Here is a 20,313-nt window from a genome sequence, read left to right as displayed (position 1 = left end):
TAGATATAATTTAAAAAGATGATTAAAATTCAGCTTTAGAAAAACCCCTTCTGCAGTGGCTTCTTTCTTCTTGTCAATGTTTTTTGCCTGACCTGGCTTCCTCACTTTTTCTCTCTGTCATCTACAGGGACTATTAGATAGAAATCCCCATGCAGGCAGAATGAGATAAATTAGGAAGACTCTACTGGCAACTTATCAGGAAGCTGCTGCAAGGCAAACCCATGAATTTCCTTGCTCAACCTCTACTTTCCATTCACCACTCACACTACGGTAATAATGCTTTCTAACTATGCAGTGGTGCTCATTCCTCAATCTCCACTGACATCACCCATGGTTAATTGGCTCTTACAGCATCCCTGAAGGGTAAGCAAGTGTTGCTACCACTGTCCCCAATTTGCCAATAATTGAGACACAGAATTGTCAAGTGTCTTTTGGAAGGCCATGGAGAGCCACTCAGAGAATTTTCTGACTGCTATCTGTTTGCTCTAATCACTGAGCTTCCCTGCAGTTCATTGTTTCTGGGTGAAAGGCTGCTAATCAGATTCTTTGAGGAAACCCAGAAGAAGAGAATTTAAAGAATGGATGCTCCTAGGAGTCCTTTATTCCCTTTCTCTCTACAGGAAAGCATGCGAATTAAGAGTGAGTTTTTGTTGTTGTTTTTGACTTTTAAAATTTATGGCTTTCTATCATTGGAAGGTTCAAAAAGGATGTAGTCACATTCTTAACTGCTGTTTTATTGTAAATGAAGATGCTAAACAATCATGGGAAGAGGAGATATTTATGATTGCCAAAAGAGACATGCTCATTCTCTAGAACCCACAATGAAGCTTGGCTTCCCTTCTGGCCCCTGCAGCTGTACTCGCACCCCAGGACCCATTCTCCTACCAAACCCAGCCCAACTCAGGTTCCCAGGAGCATTTTCACCAACCCAGGTTTCCTGGACTCAGTGTCAGGTTTCTCTGGTGATAGCCTTTTTGCTTGGGGATACCAAAGTTTCAGTGATTAAGTGAGGCCAAATTTGATTCCTTCAGGACACCGAGAGATGAAGACTAATTTATGAGTTATTCATTCATTCATAAAATTAATGAACATCTATCAAAAATCTCTGTATGCCAAGCACTGTTATAGGTGTTGTGGAATAAGAATAAATAATACACACAGTTTCTGCCCTCATGAATCTTAAATTTAATTATTTCTCTCTTTCCTTTATTCCCTCATTTGGGCAATGCCAAGTAATATTCAGCACTCCCTGAACTGCTTTTCTGTCCTCTGTTGAAGGTGGGATTACCTGTAAAGTCCAAGCACAGTAGGAAGGTGGCATGTGTAGTGGGTGGAATGGTGACTCTCCCTGATTCTACCAAAAAAAAAAAAAATTCATCCACATCCAAATTCCTGGAACCTGTGAATATTACCTTATTTGGAAAAAAGGGTCTTTGCAGGTATAATTAAGGATCTTCAGATAAGATCATCCTGGATTACCCAAGTGGGCTCCAACTCCAATGGCAAGTGTCCTTATAAGAGACAAAAAAGAAGACACAGAAGAGATTGAGGCCATGTGAACACAGAGGCAGAGATCGGAATGATGCAGCTCTAAGCCAAGGAGTTCCAAGGATTACCAGCAGCCATCAAAAGCCAAGAGAAAAAAATGAAATAGATTCTCTTCCCAGAGCCTCCAGGGAGAGTATGGTCCTGCTGACACCTGGATTTAGGATTTCTGGCCTCCTGAATGCTGAGAGAATACATTTCTGTTGCTTTCTGCCACCTAGCTTGTGGCAATTTGTTACAGGTGCCACTGGAAGTTAATACATTATGGCACATTGGTCGTAGAAGGTGGTGGCAGGAATGGTTACCTTCAGCTGATGACCAATGGGCATGTCCAAGTGACTTCTTCAAAGTCTGAGTCCTGGTCTTTTTAGTGTACCTCCTCAGGCTCAGATGATAACTCATGCTGGCATCCAATTGTAATTTTATTACCTCCTTTAAGAAACATTCCCTCATTTTTCTCTAAGATCAACATAAAAGTATCAAGCAAGTAATATTTCAAACAGAGTTTTCAAGAGATACATTTTTTTCAGCCTGTATAAATTGTCTTCTGAGAAATGTGCATGCAGATAATAGAATACATTATGTAACAATAAAGAAGCAGCCACAATTTGCCAGTCCCACCCCTGGATTTTTAAAGAGAAGGCAGAAAATAAATAGTTAGATGACATGTTAGGGAAATTCCCTATCAGTGAGGTGTAACTTGTCCACAGGTCTCCCGGAACACCTGATATCATTTGGCTCTGTGTCCCCACCCAAATCTCACCTTGAATTGTAATAATCCCCACATGTCATGGGGGGGACCCAGTGGGAGGTAATTGAATTATGGGAGTGGGTTTTTCCCATGATAGTGAATATGACTCATCTTCCACCATAATTTTGAGGCCCCCATAGCCATGTGGAACTGTGAGTCCATCAAACTTCTTTCCTTTCTAAATTACCAAGTCTTGGGTATGTCTTTATTTGCAGAATGAGAACCGACTAATACAACATCCTTTTGTGCATTGAGGAGAATTGACTGGCCTTGTTTCTCACTAAAACCTAAGCCTCCCCAGGGGGCAACGTTGCTTATCATTGTAGCCCTCCCCAGGTTTGATATAGCCTCCAACTCTTGGTGGTAACAATGACAACTATAGCCAGTCTTTATTGAATTCTTAATATCTGCCAGGATTTACTCTACATGCTTTACATATATTTATTAATTTGATCCTGAGTGCCATCCTAGGTAAGAGATACTTGTATGATTCAGATTTTACCATGAGAAAACAAAACCACAGCCAGGCTGATAAATATCTGTTTTGTTCCTGATGCAAATTATCTCACTGATTGAATTTTTAAGAATCTGAAGCTACTAGATTGTCTATTGCATTTTGTGCTCAGTTTATAGACAACCTCTCTCTACATAATTGGTTGTTATCAATTTTATTGAGGTAAAATTTGTACACAATACAATGATACAAATTTATTCATACAGTTTAATGGGGTTTGAGAAACGTGTTTGGTTATTTCAGTGCAATAAAAATAAAAAATATTTTCATTATCCTTAATTTTTCCCTCGTGTTTCTTTGCAACCAATCCCCTTCGCAAATTCCAATCCAGACAGCCACCAAACTATTTTCTATATGTAAGGATTCATTTTTTATAGGTAGAATCACACAGTGATGTTGTGCCTACCTCAATATGCTGTGTTTGTAAGTCATGTTGTATGTATTAATATTGATGAATAATATCTGTTATATGAATACATCACAATCTGTTGATCTCTTAACCTCTTGATGCATATGTGTGTTGTTCCCAGTTTGTGGTTATTATAAATGAAGCTGCTGTGAATATTTGTGTACAAACCTTTGTGTGGACCTATGTTTGCATTTCTCTTGGAGTGAAATTTCTGGGTAATACAGTAAATGTATGTTTAACTATAGAAGAAACTTCCAGGTTGTTTCTCAAAGTAGTTGTCCCATTTAACACTCCCATTGGCAAGCTAAAATTTCAAGTAGCTTTACATCTCTACCTACACATGGTATTGTCACTCTTTTTAAATTTTAGTTATTCTAAACTAAATAGTGTAGTGTTTAGTGGTATCTCATTATAACTTTATTTGCATTCTTTGATGCATAATGATGTTGAACATTTCTTCTTGTGTGTATTGACTATTTGAATATGATGTAAAATTTAATTTACATATTTTTGAAGTGTTCTTTGTTAGATATCTCAATATAGTTTGTAAATATTCTTTCTCAGTCTGCAGCTTCCCTCCTCATTGTCTAAATAGTGTCTTTTAAAGAGGAGGATTTAATTTTCATAAAGTTTTAATTTGTTGGTCATCTTCTTCTATGGTGAGTGATTTTTGTTATCAAAGAAATCTTGCCTGCCCAAAGATTACAAAGATTTTTATCTTCTATGTTTTCTTTTAGAAATAATGTAGTTTTCTATTTTTAAATTTAGATGTAATCAATTTTGAGTTATTTTTTGTCTATAGTTTGAAGTAAAAATCGTGGTTCACTTTTTTTTATATTGTTATTCGGTTACTCCCAGCCCAACTTGTTGAAAGGAGTATTCTTTTTCAGTTAAATTATCTGAAACTTTCTCCAAAATCGATTTTCTTTTCTACTGATCTATATTACTATGCTTGTGTCCCTACCACAATCTTTTAACTACTATAGTTTTATAATAAGTCTTAACATTAGGAAGTGTAAGTCCTCCTACATTGTTATTTCTCAAAATTATTTTGGCTTTTCTATGGTCTTTTGCAAATCTAATCAAATTTTCTAATTGGCTAGTTAACTTCTAAACAAAAAAAGCCTGCTGAAATTGTTATTGATACAGCAATTTGAGTAGAATGGACCTTTTAACATAGTGTATTTTATGATCCATATACATCATATATTTCTTCCTTTATTTAAGTATTCTTTCATTTCTCCTAGCAGTGTTCTGTTGCATTCAGTTTATGAATCTTGTGTAATTTTTGTTAAACTTATCCTTAAGTGTTTCATAGTATTCCAATTATCTCTTCATAGGATATGGAAATACAATTGATTTTTGTACATCTAGTTACCTTTCATTTAATTGCTAAACTCATGAAGTAGTTCTAGTAACTTCTGGTAGATTATTGGAATTTTCTGCTCTCTGTGAATAAAGACATTTTTACTTCTTTCTTTCCAATCTGTATGCCTTTTGTTGCTTTGTCTTGCCTTATTAGACTGACTAGGACCACCAGTACAACGCTGAATAGTGGATTCCAATTATACTCATATCAGATCACTTGCTATTGTCCCATAGTCAGTGAGGCTATATTAAATGTATTCTGTCTTTCATATCTCTGTGCTTGAGTTTTAATAATTTCTTCTGTTCTGCTTTCAGTTTTCTGATCTTCTGTGGTGTCTAGTCCCTTGTTAGGTGCATTCGGTCAGTTTTTCAATTTGGTGTTGTATTTTTCAACTCCAGAAATGTCATTTCATTCTTTTTTATACTTTTCATTTTTCTCTTTCTTATGTTCATTTTTCTTTTACATCATTGAACATATTTAAAATAACAGTTTTTAAATCCTTTCTATTAATTCCATAATATCAGTCATTTCTTTGATTTTTTTATTTTTTGGTTTGTTTTGAAACAGATTCTTGCTCTGCTGCCCAGGCTGGAGTGCAGTGGCACAATCTCTGCTAATCGCGACCTCCGCCTCCCAGGTTCAGGCAATTCTTGTGCCTCAGCCTCCTGAGTAGCTGGGACTACAGATGTGTACCACCATGCCCAGCTAATTTTTGTATTTTTAGTAGAGATAGGGTTTTGCCATGTTGGCCAGGCTGGTCTCGAACTCCTGGCCTCAAGTGATCCATCTGCCTTGGCCTCCCAAAGTGCTGGGATTACAGGTGTGAGCCACCACACCCAGCCGTCTGTCATTTTGTAAGCTTTGTATTCACTAACTTTACCCCGTTTATGGATCTTAACTCTCTATCTCTTTACATGCCTGGTAATTTTAGATCAGATGCTGAGTATTGTAACTGTTACCTGGTTGAGTATCTGGATTTTGTTTTCTTCCTAAAAAGAGTGTCATATTTTTTTTCTTTATTATGAGAGTCAGTTTGCATCTAGGCTAACTTCACCCTTCCAGTCTTGTTTTAAAGCTTTGTATAAGCTTCTATAGAGAAGTGTAAACTCTTCAACTGGTGCAACACTGTTTTGTGTTCATTTGAGCTTTACTGGGCTATCACTGTTGAATAAAAATTCTACATATTTAAGGTGTACAATGTGATGTTTTGACATGTGTATACATTGTGAAATGATTACCACAATCAATCTAATTAACATATCAATCACCTAACAGTTATTTTTGTGTGTGTGTTAAGAACACTTGAGATTTCCTCCCTTAGAAAATTTTAACTATATTTTAACTTAATATGAATCACAGTCACCATGTTATATATTAGATCTCCAGAACTTATTCAACTTATAACTGACAGTTTGCACCCTTTGACCAACATGACCCCTTTACCCCACCCGCAACCCAAGCAACCACCATTCTACTCCATTTCTATGAGTTCAACTTTTAAAATTTCAATATATGTGAGATCACGCAAAGTTTGACTTTCAGTGTCTGTTTTATTTCATGTAGTATAATGTCTTTCAGGCTGTTTCCTTTTTTCTTGAAACACGGTCTTTCTGTCACTCAAGCTGGAGTGCAGCAGCATAATCATAACTTACTGCAGCCTCAAACTCCTGGGCTCAAGCAATCCTCTCCCCTCCGCCTCCCAAATAGCTGGGACTACAGGTACGTGCCACCATGCCTGGCTAATTTTTTAATTTTTGGTAGATACAGGGGTTGCGCTATGTTGCCAAGTCTTGTCTCAAGCAATCCTCCTGCCTTGGCCTCCAAACTAATCACAAGTAGAATGACAGGCATGAGCCACTACACCCAGCCCTTTCTCCAGCTTCTTTCTTAAGGTTGAATAATAATCCATTGTGTGTGTCTGTATATATATATATACACAAACAATTATATTGTAAATAATGCGGTAATGAACATGGGAGTGCAAATACCTCTTCAACATACTTGTTTCACTTCCTTTAGATGTATACACAGAAGTGAGATTGTTATATGGTAGTTCTATTTTTCACATTTTGGGATACTTTTATACTGTTTTCCATGGTGTCTGTACCATTTTACATTCCCACAAACCGTGTACAAGGGTTCTTATTTCTCTACAATCCCACCGACACTTGTCTTTTGCTTTTCTGATAAAGCCATCCCAGCAGGTGTGAAGCGATATCTCCCTGTGGTTTTGATTTGCATTTCCCTGTTGAGTGGTGATGTGAACCTTTTCATATACCTGTTGGCATTTTCTTTGGAAAAATGTCTATTCATATCCTTTGCCCATTTTTAAATCAGGTTATTTGTTTTTCCACTTTTGAGTTGTATGGCCTACTTGTTTACTTTTGCTTTTGTTACCTGTGCTTTTGGTGTCATATCCAAAAAATCATTGCCAAGAACAATATCAAGGAGCTCTTTTTCTATGTGCTTTCTTCTTTTAGGAGTTTTATGGTTTTATGTCTTGCATTTAAGTATTTAATCCATTCATAGATGATTTTTGAGTCTGGTGTAAGATAAGGGTCCAATTTTGTTCTTTTGCATGTGGCTATTCAGTTTTCCCACCACCATTTAATAAGAACTATCCTTTTCCTGCTTTGTATTCATGGCCTCTTTGCCAAGATATCCATGGGCTTATTTCTGGGCTCTCGATTCTGTTCCATTGGTTTATGTGTCTGTTTATATGCCAATACCATACTATTTTAATTTTTATAGTTTTGTAATATAAATTGAAATCAGGAAGTATGGTGCTTTCAGCTCTCATCTTCTTGCTCAAGATTTCTTTTGTTATTCAGGGTCTTTAGAGGTACCATGCAAATTTTAGAATTTTTTTCTATTTCTGTGAAAAATGCTATTGGAATTTTGATGAGGATTGCATTGAAACTAGAGATTGCTTTAAGTAGCATGAACATTTTAATAATAATTATTTCAATCCATGAACAAGGAGTATTTTTTCATTGATTTGTGTCTTCTTTTTTTTTTAGATTTTATTTTATTTATTTATTTATTTTTTAAATTTTATTATTATACTTTAAGTTCTAGGGTACATGTGCACAATGTGCAGGTTTGTTACATATGTATGCATGTGCCATGTTGCTGTGCTGCAGCCATTAGCTCATCATTTAGCATTAGGTATATCTCCTAATGCTATCCCTCCCCCCTCCCCCCACCCCACAACAGTCCCCGGTGTGTGATGTTCCCCTTCCTGTGTCCATGTGTTCTCATTGTTCAATTCCCACCTATGAGTGAGAACATGCGGTGTTTGGTTTTTTGTCCTTGCAATAGTTTGCTGAGAATGATCGTTTCCAGTTTCATCCATGTCCCTACAAAGGACAAGAACTCATCCTTTTTTATGGCTGCATAGTATTCCATGGTGTATATGTGCCACATTTTCTTAATCCAGTCTATCGTTGTTGGACATTTAGGTTGATTCCAAGTCTTTGCTATTGTGAATAGTGCTGCTATAAACATACATGTGCATGTGTCTTTATAGCAGCATGATTTATAATCCTTTGGGTATATACCCAGTAATGGGATGGCTGGAATATAGACTAATGGAACAGAACAGAGCCCTCAGAAATAATGCTGCATGTCTACAACTATCTGATCTTTGACAAACCTGACAAAAGCAAGCAATGGGAAAAGGATTCCCTATTTAATAAATGATGCTGGGAAAACTGGCTAGCCATATGTAGAAAGCTGAAACTGGATCCCTTCCTTACACCTTATACAAAAACTAATTCAAGATGGATTAAAGACTTAAATGTTAGACCTAAAACCATAAGAACTCTAGAAGAAAACCTAGGCAATACCATTCAGGACATAGGCATGGGCAAGGACTTCATGTCTAAAACACCAAAAGCAATGGCAACAAAAGCCAAAATTGACAAATGGGATGTAATTAAACTAAAGAGCTTCTGCACAGCAAAAGAAACTACCATCAGAGTGAACAGGCAACCTACAGAGTGGGAGAAAATTTTTGCAATCTACTCATCTGACAAAGGGCTAACATCCAGAATCTACAATGAACTCAAACAAATTTACAAGAAAAAAACAAACAATCCCATCAACAAGTGGGTGAAGGATATGAACAGACACTTCTCAAAAGAAGACATTTATGCAGCCAAAAGACACATGAAAAAATGCTCATCATCACTGGCCATCAGAGAAATGCAAATCAAAACCACAATGAGATACCATCTCACACCAGTTAGAATGGCGATCATTAAAAAGTCAGGAAACAGCAGGTGTTGGAGAGGATGTGGAGAAAGAGGAACACTTTTACACTGTTGGTGGGACTGTAAACTAGTTCAACCATTGTAGAAGTCAGTGTGGTGATTCCTCAGGGATCTAGAACTAGAAATACCATTTGATTTGTGTCTTCTGTCATGGCTTTTGTCAATGTTTAATTGTTTTCAGTGTACAAATCTTTCATCTCCTTGGTTAATTTATTCTTACATACTTTTGATGCTATTGTAAATGACATTGTTTTCTTTTTTTTTCAGATGGTTTATTGTTAGTGTACAGAAATGAGACTGATTTTTGTATGTTGATTTTTTATCTAGAAACCTCACTGAATTTACTAGTTCTAACAGTATTATTTTGGTTGAGTCTTTAGGGTTTTCTATATATAATATTATGCCATCTGCAAACAGACAATTTATCTACTACTTTTTTTTTTTGAGACAAGTTCTTGTTTTGTCACCCAGGCTGGAGTGCAGTGGTGCCATCTCAGCTCACTGCAACCTCAGCCTCCCAGGTTCACGTGATTCTCCTGCCTCAGCCTCCCAGGTAGCTGGGATTACAGGCATGCCACCAGGCCCAGCTAATTTTTGTACTTTTAGTAGAGATGGGGTTTCACCATGTTGGCCAAGTTGGTCACGAACTCCTAACCTCAAGTGATCCACCCAACTTGGCCTCCCAAAGTGTGGAATTACCGGCATAAGCCATCGCACCCAGCTTACCTTCCACTTTTATTATTTGAATGTCTTTTTTTTTTCCTTTTCTAATTTTTCTGGCTAGGACTTCTAGTCTTACGTTGAGCAGGAGTGATGAGATGGACATCCTTCACTTGTTCCTTATCTGAGAAGAAAAGCTTTCAGCTTTTCATCATTGAGTACAATGTTAGCTGAGAGCTTGTCATATGTGACCTTTATTATATTGAGATATATTCCTTCTATATCTAATATTTTGATATTTATCATGAAAGTATGTTGAAAATGTAAAATGCTTTTTCTGCATCTATGGATACAATTATATCATATTTATTCTTCATTCTGTTAATGTGGTGTATCATTTATTGATTTCCATATGTTGAACCATTTTTGCATCCCAGGGATAAATCACACTTGATCATGGTACACAATCCTTTTAATGTGGTATTGATTCAATTGCTAGTATTTTTTTGAGAATTTTTGTTCATATGTTTATCAGGGATATTGGCCTGTAATTTTCTTTTCTTGTACTGTCCAAATCTGGCTTTGATATCAGGTTAATGCTATGCTTGTAAAATGAGTTTGGAAGTATTCTCTCCTCTTCACTTTTTGAGAAGGGTTTGATAAGGATTGATATTAATTCCTCTTTAAATGTTTGATGGAATTCAGCAGTGAAGCTATTAGGTCCTATGCTTAGCTTCATTCAGGTCTTTGATTCATACTTTAATCTCCTTACTCATTATTGATACATTCATATTTCCTAATTCTTCATAATTTAGTGTTAGAAGGTTGTACGTTTCTAGAAATTTATTCATGTCTTCTAGTTTGTCCAATTTGTTGACATATAATTGTTCATAATAGTCTCTTATGGTCCTTTGTATTTCTGTGGCACTAGTTGTAATTATCTCCCTTTCATTTACAATGTTTGATTCTTTTTCTTTTTTTCTTAGTCTAGCTAAAGATTTAAAATTTTAATCTTTCCAAAATATCAACTCAGTTTCAGTGATCTTTTCTATTGTTTTTCTACTCTCTATTTCATTTATTTATTCTCTGGTCTTTGTTTTGTTTTCCTTCTTTCTGCTAATTTTGTGCTTCATTTATCTGTCTTTCTCTAGTTCCTTACATGTAAAGCTAGCTTGTTTATTTGAGAGTTTTCTTTTTTCTTAATGTAGGCATTTATCAGTATAAGCTTAACTGCTTTTTCTTTATCCCTCAAATTTTGGTATGTTGGGTTTGCATTTTTATTTGTCCCAAGATATTTTTCATTTCCCTTTTGATTTCTTCTTTAACCTTATAGTTATTCAGAAGTATGTCATTTTTGTGAATTTTACAGTTTTTCTCCTGTCGTTGACATCTAGTTTCATACCACCTGTATTAGTCTGTTCTCAGGCTGCTGTTAAGAACTGCCTGAGACTGGGTAAATTATAAAGGTAAGAGGTTTAATTGACTCACAGTTCTGCAGGGTTGGAGGGCCTCATGAAACTTACAGTCATGGCAGAAGGGGAAGCAAACACATCCTTCTTCACATGGCAGCAGGAAAGAGAACAATGAGAGCTGTGTGAAGGGTGACGCCTCTTATAAAATCATCAGATCTCATGAGAACTTACTCACTATCATGAGACTAGCATGGGGAAAACAACTTCCATGATTCAATTACCTCCTATTGGTTCCCTCCCACAACATGTGGGGATTATGAGAACTACAGTTCAAGATGAGATTTGGGTGGGGACACAGACAAACCATATCACCACCACTGTTTTCTTATTAATTTTCTGTCTGGATAATGTGTTCATTAAAAGTGGGGCATTGAAATCCCCTTCTATTATTGTATTGCTATGTATTTCTCCTTTCAGATCTGTTAATGTTTGCTTTATATATTTGGGTAAGAAATCATTGATTAGGAATTCTTTTCTTCTGAGGTTAAATGAACGCATATTTACAATTGTTTTATCATCTTGATAAATTGATCCCATAATTATTATATAATGATTTTTTTGTCTTTTGTTACAGTTTTTGACCTAAAGTCTATTTTCTCTGATGTTAATACAGCTACTTATCCTCTCTTGGTTTACATTTGCATAGAAAATCTTTTCGTATTTCTTCATTTTCAGCCAATGTATGTGTTTAAAGTTGAATTGAGTCTCATGTAAACAACATATACTTGGAGCTTTAAAAAAAAAAAAATTTAACCACCGTATGTCTTTTGATTGGAGAATTTAACCCATTTACATTTAAAGTGATTATTGATAGGCAGGAACTTATTGACATTTTGTTAATTGTTTTTTGGCTGTTTTGTTGTTCCTTTGTTTCTTCTTCCCTTTCTGTCTTCTTTTGTAGATTTGATGATTTTTTTGTAACGGTATGCTTTGTTTTCTTCTTCCTTATCTTTTGTGTATCTCCTATAGGTTTTTGGCTTTGTGCTTATCATGAGGTATACATAAAAGATCTTCTAACAGTCTATTTTAAGCTCATAATAACTTTAATTGCATATAAAAACTAAACTTTTGCTCTCCCAAATTCTCTGTTGCTGATTCATAGTTTGTATATTTTCATATTGTGAATCTTGTGAATCCATTAACAAGTTACTGTAACTATAGATTTTTAATAATTTTGTCTTTTAACCTTTCTACTAGAGTTAAAGGTGAGCCACTCACCACCATTACAGTAATAGGGTAAAGGGATACTTATCTTTACCAGCAAGTTTTATTATTTCATATGTTTTATATTACTAATTAGGATTCTTTCATTTCAGCTTAAAAAGCTCCCTTCATTATTTCTTATCAAAAAAAGGTCTAGTGGTGATGGTGATGAACTTCCTCAATTTTTATTTGTCTGAGAAATTCTTTATTTCTCCTTCAATTCTGAAAGACAGCTTTACCAGGTAAATTATTCTTATTAGTGTTTTTCTTTCCTTCAGCTCTTTGAACATATTATCTCGCTTTCTCCTAACCTGTAAGGTTTTGCTAAAAAAAAAAAAAAAAAAAAATTCTGCTGAAAATCTTATGAGGGTTTTGTTGCTTACAACGCTACTTTCAAAAATTCTCTTTGATTTTTGACAATTTGATTATAATGTGTCTCACTGAAGTCCTTTTTGGGTTGAAACTCTTTGGAAATTTTTGTGCTTCACATATCTGGATGTCCATCTCTCTCCCCAGCTTTGAGATGTTTTCAGCCTTTATTTCTTTAAACAAGCTTTTTGTTTCTTTCTCCATTCTTCTTGTGGGATACTCCTAATTTTATATCATTTCTCTGAATGGTGCTTGTAGTTAGTGCTTGTAATTTTATGTTGCCTCAGCATCCATTTTAAAATATGTATAATTTTCTCACATCAGAAGCAGGGCTCAGCCAGCCTTGACAGTTTCTAATACTATACCCCACTCAAATGGTTCCAGGTAGTAGCTAGAGATAAATATTAGAGGCATCTTTCTTGCCTCACAGGCTGATCTCCCTACTTTCCTGCTGCCTCCTTTAATTCAGACATTTTCCAATGAACTTAAAGGGACCACTTCTCGGTTACAGCATGACCTCCTGGAACTAGTGCCTGTTTGCTTTAACCCATGAATTAAAGCTCCCTGGGGGAAACCTGTTTCTATAACACCCTGGACTCAATAAATGCATTGACTCATGGGTCCCTTCTCTCTTTCTGCTTGTGCTCCATTGCCTCTGTGTTTGTGTGGGCTTCAGGGGTGCTGTGTATCCTCCAGGATCTGTAAATACTAAAAACTCTTAGACTTTCACATTGTGGTTGTGTCATTGAAGTTGTTCCCACAGTCCAACCCAAACCCCTGTTGGTGAGGCTGCCCCAAAGGGACCCATGCAGGTGGATCCCCTGCTGGTGCTCTTTTGTCTGAACCTCAGCTGCTGAGAAGAGAAGTTACCAGCTAAGCTGATAGAGTTTCATTTAAAACAGCTTCTCATACATCCTGTAGGCTTTTCTCATTCCTTTTTAATCTTTTTTTCTCCTCTTACTGGATAATTTCAAGTGATCCATCTTTGAGTTCACAGACTCTTTGGTTTTGCTTGATCAAATCTGCTGTTGACACGCTACTGCATTTTCAATTTTTTTTCATTCGTATTTCAGCTCTAGAGTTTCTATTTTTTAAAAAATGTTTATCCCTTTGTGCAACTTCTTGTTTTGTTCATGTATTATTTGCCTGACTTCATTGAGTTGTCTAAGCTCTCTTTTAGCTTACTGAGCTTCTTTGAGACAATTGTTTTGAATTCTTTATCAGGCAATTTATTGATGCCTATTTCTTTGGGATTGGTTACTAGAATAATTGTGTTTTTCATTGATGTCATGTTTAGTTGATTTTTCATGTTTTTAGAAAATCTTGAATTGCTGCATTTGAAGACACAATCAACTTCTCCAGTTCTTACTGACTAGCTTCAGGGGATAAACACCTCACCTGTCAGCCTGAATAGGAATTCTGAGTCCCTCTTAGGCCTTTTCTCTGGATGCGTGCACTCTACACTTTGTGTTCCCTCTTGGGGAGTAATTATGATTGCACACCTTCTCTTGATGCTGGAAACCAAGCTGGGTTCTGGGAGTTCCCGTTTGTTTTTCGTAGGCTGGTGTCCTACAATCCTTGTTTGTGTGCTTTCTCACAATCCTGCGGAGTTGGGCCAGCTGTCTGCATCTGCTCATGAGCCATCTGCAGAGGCTCATACCTGTCATTCACAGAGGCAAATGTGAGGTGGGGTAAGAGGGATTTGGCGAGGTGTGTCAAATGTCATGGCTGCTTTTGGTTCAGTTACAGTGGTCCATAGGCAAGGCATTCCAAGTGATTCATGGATGGACTTCCTGATGAAATCCACAAAGTAGTTAGTAGGATTCATGGTCCTTTGTTGTTTTCTGAACTCTGGCTGCTTTGAGTCCCCTTTCACTTTCCTGATCCCAGCCCCTTTCAACCACTCGACTGTGCCAGTCACCAATATTCTGGGTGGGATGAGAAAGACATGGGTCTCATGAGCAGCATCCCACATGGCTGAGGGAGCCAGATGCTCACTTACTACACTCTCACTTTTCCTTGTAGGAGAAATCACAGGCCCAGGGTGTCTGTCTTGGCACTGAGCTTTGCCACCTTGTGGGAGGGCTGATATATGTAAAGTGAAGCTACTCCTCTTACTTTCTCCAATATGTCAGATTTTTTGCTCCAGTGATGTGCTCAAACTTCCCTGCCGGATTCTTGTGCCCCCACAAAGGTACTCTCATCCATGGATGGTTGTCAGCATCCATGCTTCTACATGGAGACAATGACAGAAAACTCCTATTTCACTATCTTGCTGGTGTCACTTCCTATAGCACTGTTTTCAGTGTGTGGTCATTATAGCATCTCTGCTAAATGCCCTGGGTGTTCAGTGAGGTCTCCCAGCTCTTGTTGGTCAAAACTCAGAATTTTCTTAACCTCGTATAAACCAGATTTGTTGTTTTGCTTACAACCCCCTAATAGTTCTTTCCATCATTATTGTCTTCATCGAAAACCCTGAAACCCTGGTCTCATAGAGTTTCAGCCTATGCATGTGCATCTTAATATTTAGATAAATATCTACAGTTTTACAGAGCTATTTTCCTCTGTTACTTATTTCTGGTATGTTACCCTAAAAATTTCAGGTACCTCAGTTTTTCCAAACTTGATCTCTGTTATATAAGTTCAGTGAGACTATCACTGCTTGAATTAACTCTCCCCGCTCCAGAGTCCTTTATATTATTCAGCTGGAAAGTTGGAAAGAATCTAGAGCTTACCGCTTTTGTTTTCCTTTATTGGGAATTACAGTCCTTTGCTGTTCTTTATCTAGTGACTGGATTTCTTTCAAATAAATTTCGTCCAGTTTTCTAGCTATTGATGTGAAATGGGTATTATAGTATCAAGTTTTCATTATGACCGGAAAAAAGAGTAGTTGTTGAACAAAGAATCTGAAGTTCTCATTCCATGATCTTCCAAGAGTTTCCCTTAAGCTTATCCAAAGTTTTCTGTGGGGTATACTCATATTTTCTTGATTTTTTTCTTCACGTATCTCCACTCCTAAGGTACATCTTGGTCTGAATTACTGTTATTTCTTTCATCCATTCTCCAAAAAAATCAGCAAGGCAATGTATTTTGTGTGGCAGTATATTACTAAAAATTGGTAATATGTTGTCAGTTTAAGTAACATTACACTATATCAGATGACAAGTAGGGACATAAAATAGAAGACTTGACATCAACAGCCTTAAAGATACTGGAGTATTCCTGACAGGGAATTTTTTACTATACATCTGTCCTACAGAGAGGCCTAAGTGTGAGCCATCCTTTGGGATTCATTCATTCTCCTTTTCTTATCCCTTTTCCTATTTCCATTCTTTATCCAATTGCATAAACCGCAATCCCTCTTTCTTAAGCTATCAACCCCAACTTAAGAATTCTTGGCAGGGCGCAGTGGCTCATGCCTGTAATCCCAGCACTTTGGGAGGCTGAGGTGGGCAGATCACCTGAGGTCAGGAGTTCAAGACCAGTCTGGCCAACATGGCGAAACCCCATCTCTACTAAAAATACAAAAATTAGCCAGGCATGGTGGTGGGTGCCTATAATCCCAGCTACTCAGGAGGCTGAGGCAGGAGAATCACTTGAACCTGGGAGGCAGAGGTTGCAGTGAGCCAAGATCACACCACTGCACTCCAGCCTGGATGACAGAGTGAGATGCCATCTCAAAAAAAAAAAAAAAAAAAGAATTTTTATAACTTGATTAAGCAGATCAACTTAGATTTTTCTCCTCAATCTTATCCTTCTAGAATGGTGGTTTTAAAATTCTCGCTGCTCATTAGAATCACCAAAAGAAACTTATGTAAATTCTACTTCCTGGGCCTTTACTAAACCCAACAAGGTCAGAATTTCCTGCTGAAACTGGGCACCTCTATTTCTATTTTTTAAAATTTCCCACTAATTTTAATATGCACCCAACTGGGAACTGCTTCTGGCAATTCGGCCCATGACGCTTGCTTTTCTCAGCTGGAAAGATCCTATCAGGTATTTTTATTGACAAAAAGAACATTACTCTAACTTTCCAGCCTAGAGAGCACAAGGATTCAGCACAAGTTTTGATATTATGATTTTTTTCACGCTCTCTTTGTCTCAGATTATATATTTACGTTTATCCTTGCAGTGTTCTCAAAATGAGAGAGAGGGATTAGGAAAATTTATTTCTTTCCCGAGCTAAGATTATTAAGTCATGGTTTTCTTATTCTTATAATCTTCATATCTTTTAATATTTGATACACTTAAAAATTTAAACAGATTTGAGTTTTAATAACTCAAATTTTGACAGTTTTTGGTCATACCTAGTTGATGTTATTGTCTCATGGTGAAATTTTCTGAAGTTGACTAATCCTCAGATATTTTAATGTAATTCATAAATTGACAAATAATAATTGTGTATATTTATGGCATTCAATATGATGTTTTGATCTATGTACACAATGTAGAAAAATTTAATCAAGCTAATTAACATATCCATCACCTCACAACTTGTCATTTTTTTGTGTGGTGAGAATGTTAAAAATCTATTACCAATTTGAAATATACAATACATTATAATTAACTGTGGTCACTATGAAGTGCAATAGATCACTAAAACTTATTCTGTGATCTAACTGACATTTCATAATCTTTGATCAACATCTTCCCTTCCTCAGTCCCTCCTCCTTCCTCCTAGCCTCCGGTAACCACCTTTCTATTCTCTGTTCATATGAGATCAACTTTTTTAAGATTCCACGTATAAGTGAGATCATACAGAATTTGTCTTTTGGTGTCTGGTTCATTTCACTTAGCACAATATCCTCTAGTTCTATCCATATCAACATGAGTGACAGAATTTCCTTCTTTTTTAAAGGCTATATAGTATTTCATTGTATATATGCCACCTTTTCTTTATCCATTTACCTATTGATGGGCCAGTTGGTTGATTCTATATCTAGACTATTGTTAACAATGCTGCAATGAACATAGGAATGCAGATATCTCTTTAACATACGAATTTCATTTCTTTTGAATATATACCCAGAAGTGGGATCATTGGATCATATGATAGTTCTATATTTAGGTTTTTGAGGAACCTCCACACTATTTTCCAAAATGGCTCTGCTAATTTACATTTTTACATTTCCCCAATAAATTCTTGCAATCATTAGAGAGAAGCTAGGGGACCACCCATGCTTACAAGAGAAAGGAGGCATTCCCTATGCCTTCATCCATGGCTTGCTTCAGCATTACCTTCAGACTAGAGTACTCCCCTTACAAAGAAGGTGTAAAAGTTCTACTTGCTTGAATAGGAAAACAGGTACTCCCTGTGCCCCCTTCCCCAGCTTGCTCTGGTGATAATTCCAGCCCTGAAATCTCTTTAGCAAAAGAGGTTGAAGGCCTCTGCCTGCAAGAATAGAAGGGATGGCACTCTTTGCACCCTCATCCTTGGCTTTCTCTTGAGATAAACTCCTATAATCTCTCATTAGAAGGAGGCTGGGGGATCTCTCCTTGCCTGAAAGGAAATTAGGTGCTTTCTATGACTTCCTCCCTGGCTTGCTTTAGGGATATATCCAGACAGAAGTCTTCTGCTAGGAGGGTGTGAGACTTCTGCTTGCTCGAACAAGAGAGAAGGCACTCCCTGTGCCTTCTTCCCTGGCATACTGCAGCAATAAATCCAAATCTGTAGACATTCCCTAGAAGTAGTTTCCACATACATTGTGTACCCCCAACTTTTACAGTCTTCACCTGAGGAAATGATTCTTAAATTACCTAACTCCAGTTGATGGGGCTCTGTCCTCTTGAGTCTGCTAGACCACATAGAATAAAAAAGTGATATTTAAACTTGCAAACTTTTATCAGCTGTCTCCTCAGGTTTAAGTTGAGCAGTCTGAAAAAGAGTGCAGGCATCTGCCTCACACCCTCTTCTTGGTGTAGGGTAGAATGATTGGGAGATAAACTCTGGCTCTCATCTTCTCACCAAGAAAAGAAGTAATTGGAACACATATCTATCACCCCAACCTCCTTAGCTATACCCCAAAGGACTGGTTTCTGTCCCATCTCTCTTGAGGCGATAACATAACTCAATACTTTCTAATTTCTTGGGAGGCAGTAAGAACAAACACAGGAGATTGGACAAGGACAATGAATTTAGAGGCACCTAGAATCTTTTGCTGAGCTGATTTGAGAGAAACATCTTCTGTACAAGACCAGTCTAACAAAAGTGGGAGAGGTGTTTTTTTATCTTATGTGAAGAAGCCAACAGAATGAAAGAAAATGAAGAAATGGAAATATGTTCCATGTAAAAGAACCAGATAAATATTTAGAAGCTGACTCTAATGCAATAGAGATATGCGATTTACCTGACAGGAAATCCAAAAGGATAGTCATAAATATATTTGCTGAGGTAAGGAAAGCAATGTATGAACAAACTGAGAATTTCAACAAAGAAATAGAAAACATATAAAAGTACCAAACGTAAATCACAGAGCTGAATAGTACAATAATTGAACTCAAAAATTCAGTAGAGGGATTCGACAGCAGACTAGATTAAGCAGGAGAAAAATTTAGCTAACTTGAAAATAGGTCACAGAGATCATCCAATCTGAGAAACAAAAAGATAAAATGAAAAAGTAAAAGCAGCCTAAAGTATTTACGATAAACCATTAAATTTCCACCAGAAGAGGAGAGACAAAGAGATGGAAAATGTATTCAAAGAAATAATGGCAGACAATTTTTCAATTCTGAAGAAAATAGAAATCTGGATTCAGGGAATCTCAATGGACACCTAGTAAGGATAAATTTAAACAGACTCACACCAAAACACATTAAAATCAAATTGTCAAAAGTGAAAAACAAAAAGAGAATATTGAAAGTTGCATGGGAAAAGCAACTTATTAGATACAAGTTACATACAGAATCATGTTACATAAAAGTTACATATAAAAATCAGAGTTTCTAACAGAAAATCTGCATGTCAGAGGGAATGGGATAAGATACTTATAAAGCTGAAAGAAAAAAAAATTCCGCCAAGCAAGAATACAATACCTAACAGTCCTATGCTTTAAAAATCAAGGGGAGATAAAACCTTACTCAGACACACTAAAGTTGAGGGAATCTATTACCACTATACTTGCCTTACAAGAAATACTAAAAGTAGTCCTTCAAGCTGAGGGACAAGGTCACTTAAAAGTAAACATATAGCCAAAGTGAAAACACTCCTATACTGTGGTGGTGATGTGAACATCAATTATATCACTAGTATAAAGATTAAAAGACAAAATTATTAAAAACAACTATAGCTACAGTAATTTGTTAAGGGACACAAACTATAAAATATATAAAATATGTCATCAAAAACAAATTGTGAGGAGGGGAGTGTAAAAGTGTATAATTTGTGCAAGTGATCAAGGTTAAATTGTTGTCAGTTCAGATTAACCCTTGGTCTTATCCAAAATCATAGAGGGAGTATCCATATCTCTGTTTTAATTACCTATTTTTGCTATGGTCGGAACATGTCCCCAAAAATTTATATGTTGAAATATAATGATAGTATTAAGAGATGGGGCCTTTGTGAGGTAATTATATCATGATATATTTGTAATCATGATAGTATTAAGAGATAGGGCCTTTTTGAGGTAATTATATCATGAGGGTGCAGCTCTGAAAGATGGGATTAGGGACATTTTAAAGGAGTTGAGGGAGTAGATTCACTGTCTTCCACTCTCTTGCCATGTGAGAACACAACGTTCATCCCCTTTTG

At 36.5% G+C, this 20,313-nt stretch overlaps 1 long non-coding RNA gene across 7 annotated transcripts in view, besides 1 other annotated feature; it reads left to right on the top strand.

Annotated features, from left to right (window-relative positions):
* The window catches only part of LOC105375716 (uncharacterized), a 436,284-nt gene that overhangs the window by 162,188 nt on the left and 253,783 nt on the right, over positions 1-20,313 (top strand). The gene's annotated exons all lie outside the window — the stretch shown is intronic.
* Positions 279-780: an enhancer, noted in NCBI's record as "NANOG hESC enhancer chr8:118369992-118370493 (GRCh37/hg19 assembly coordinates)". NCBI's record gives its function as "activates a minimal SCP1, AML or CMV promoter by ChIP-STARR-seq in naive H9 embryonic stem cells {active_cell/tissue: H9 hESC(naive)}" and the evidence as "EXISTENCE:reporter gene assay evidence [ECO:0000049][PMID:30033119]".

The sequence above is a fragment of the Homo sapiens genome, chromosome 8 (genome assembly GCF_000001405.40).
Source record: "Homo sapiens chromosome 8, GRCh38.p14 Primary Assembly".
NCBI lineage: Eukaryota > Metazoa > Chordata > Mammalia > Primates > Hominidae > Homo > Homo sapiens.
This window is presented reverse-complemented; position numbering and strand designations above follow the sequence as displayed.